The sequence below is a fragment of the Homo sapiens genome, chromosome 13, assembly GCF_000001405.40.
Source record: "Homo sapiens chromosome 13, GRCh38.p14 Primary Assembly".
NCBI classification, from domain to species: Eukaryota; Metazoa; Chordata; class Mammalia; order Primates; family Hominidae; genus Homo; species Homo sapiens.
The window spans coordinates 45,905,996-45,908,216 of NC_000013.11; the positions used below are offsets into that span (position 1 = coordinate 45,905,996).

At 49.3% G+C, this 2,221-nt stretch overlaps 1 annotated feature.

Annotated features, from left to right (window-relative positions):
• Positions 1,263-1,814: an enhancer, noted in NCBI's record as "H3K4me1 hESC enhancer chr13:46481393-46481944 (GRCh37/hg19 assembly coordinates)". NCBI's record gives its function as "activates a minimal SCP1, AML or CMV promoter by ChIP-STARR-seq in primed H9 embryonic stem cells {active_cell/tissue: H9 hESC(primed)}" and the evidence as "EXISTENCE:reporter gene assay evidence [ECO:0000049][PMID:30033119]".

The following is a 2,221-nucleotide window of genomic DNA, read 5'->3' on the forward strand; positions in this document are numbered from 1 at the left end:
CCACCTCAGCCTCCCAAGAAACTGGGACTACAGGAGTGTGCCAACACACCCACGCCTGGCTACGTTTGTTCTTTTTTTTTTTTTTTTTTTTTTTGTATAGACGAGATCTCACTATGTTACCGAGGCTGGTCTCAAACTCCTGGACTTGGTGTCCCAAAGTGCTGGGACTACAGATATGAACCACCATGTTCAGCTGTGGACACGAGTATTTCTGAAGGTCTCAATACATGGGCACATCATGTATATTCTGTGAGCTATTTGAAGGGACATCTTACCAGCCCAGGTAACCATCCTTCATTCACTTGTTAACTCTTCCATCTAGCTTTTTCCTTTGTGATGGTGACAAAATTGCCACCTTTCCAAGTTCTCTGGTGATTTTCTAATTCTTGAATCCCAAAACCTCTTTTGGTGCCTTCTCCGTCTCTCAGTCTCTCTTGCTGTGTCTCTGTAGGACTCCACAGCCTTATCTTCCCCTTGAAGTCCTCTCCTCCCTCAGCACCCATGACTCTCCACTGCTCTGCATCCCCACAATCTCTCTGGTTGCTTCTCTCTGCCCTTGCCTCCTAGGCTACAGCTCCTCATGGGTACCCCTAGCCTCCGCCCCCCCTTTTTTTTTTGAGATGGAGTCTCACTTCCTCACCCAGGCTTGAGTGCAGTGGCGCAATCTCAGCTCACTGCAACCTCCGCCTTCTGGGTTCAAGCAATTCTCCTGTCTCAGCCTCCCGAGTATTTGGGACTACAGGTGCCTGCCACCACACCCAGGTAATTTTTGTATTTTTAGTAGAGATGGGGTTTCACCTTGTTGGTCAGGCTGGTCTTGAACTCCTGACCTTAGGTGATCTACCCGCCTTGGCCTCCCAACATTTTTTTGCATTAAATACATGAACGGCCCATGAAGAAGCAGATGCTGCCCTCAAAGAAGTCAGGCCCATCATAAATACACATGAGGTCAGTGGAGTCACAGCGGGTACAGCGACCTAAGTCAGGTGGAAAGAATCATTCACAGGAGCTGGCCACGTGGAGGAAGGAGTATGGCTTGATGAGGAGGAGGAGGGAAGAGACACAGCAGACTGAGAAAGGAGATGTGACATTCCTCCCTGGTGCCCCAGGGCTGTCCCCATCCCGGCAGTCACCCGGGCAGGACCACCGAGAGGCCACACCCTGGATGACTCCCTCTGGGCTGGGTCGCTTGCTCTGCTTCTTCCCTTCCAATCCCACCGCCACTGCAGGGAACATGGACAGCTTAGCCTGGCCAGGGACAGGAGGCTCAGCCTCGGCAGAGCCACAGCAACTAAGAGAGAGGCCAGGACAGAGGCCTGTGAGGATGGGAAGGGGAGGCAGAGGGGAGCAGTAAGCCACAAGCAGAAATCCCCAGGTCCCGGGCAAGTTGTGTGGCTTGTGGTGGTCTCACCTCCCCGCCCCCCAGTTAGCTCTAGTTCAGGCTCAGGACAAAGTCTCACCGTGCTCTGTTCAGTGTTCAATCAGAAATAAAAATAGTAAAAGCACATCTGCCATTCCTGGCAATTCTGCCACGATCCATGATGAGTCCTATTAAAACATCAGGAGCAGAAACAGCACCATCGATTGAATGCAGAGATGGGGTGAGAGGCCACGTCCTTTTCTCTCCTCCCTTCCTTCCCATTACCTACAGCATTTTTATGCCAGAAGAAACCATTACTTAGAAAACCATTTCTGTCATCCTTAGAACAGCCAAAAGGCTTCAACATCTTAATGGAAAGAAAATTATCGGTGTGATCATAATCAAAGACCTCAGCTCCCTGGGGGAACGTTAACCCTTCCGTATCCAGCCCAGCCTGCAGAGACAGCAGAGGTCTGGAATTCGCGGAGTTAACATTGAGCTTTAGACTCATTGCAAGGACGGAGGAGCTGCCGTCAGTCATTTAACGAGCATCTCAGAGTGGCTTTGTCTGTCTTTAAAAAACTGGCTGTTCATTTTTAGGGAGAAGATTTTATGCTTGGGAGAATTGGGAAGGTCTCAGTGTATCTCTCTCGCAAACATTAGAGCTGTGTATACATTTTAGTGAGGCATTCATATTTCATTCATTTATGTAAAACTACCCTAGTGCTTACAGCCTGCCAGGCACAGTTCCAGAGGCTGGGGGTGAGCCCTAGTAAGGCAGATAAGGTACCAGTTCCCCTAACTTACATCTATGTGCGGATACAGAGAAAAAACAAGAGGTAAATAGTAAGATAATTTTAG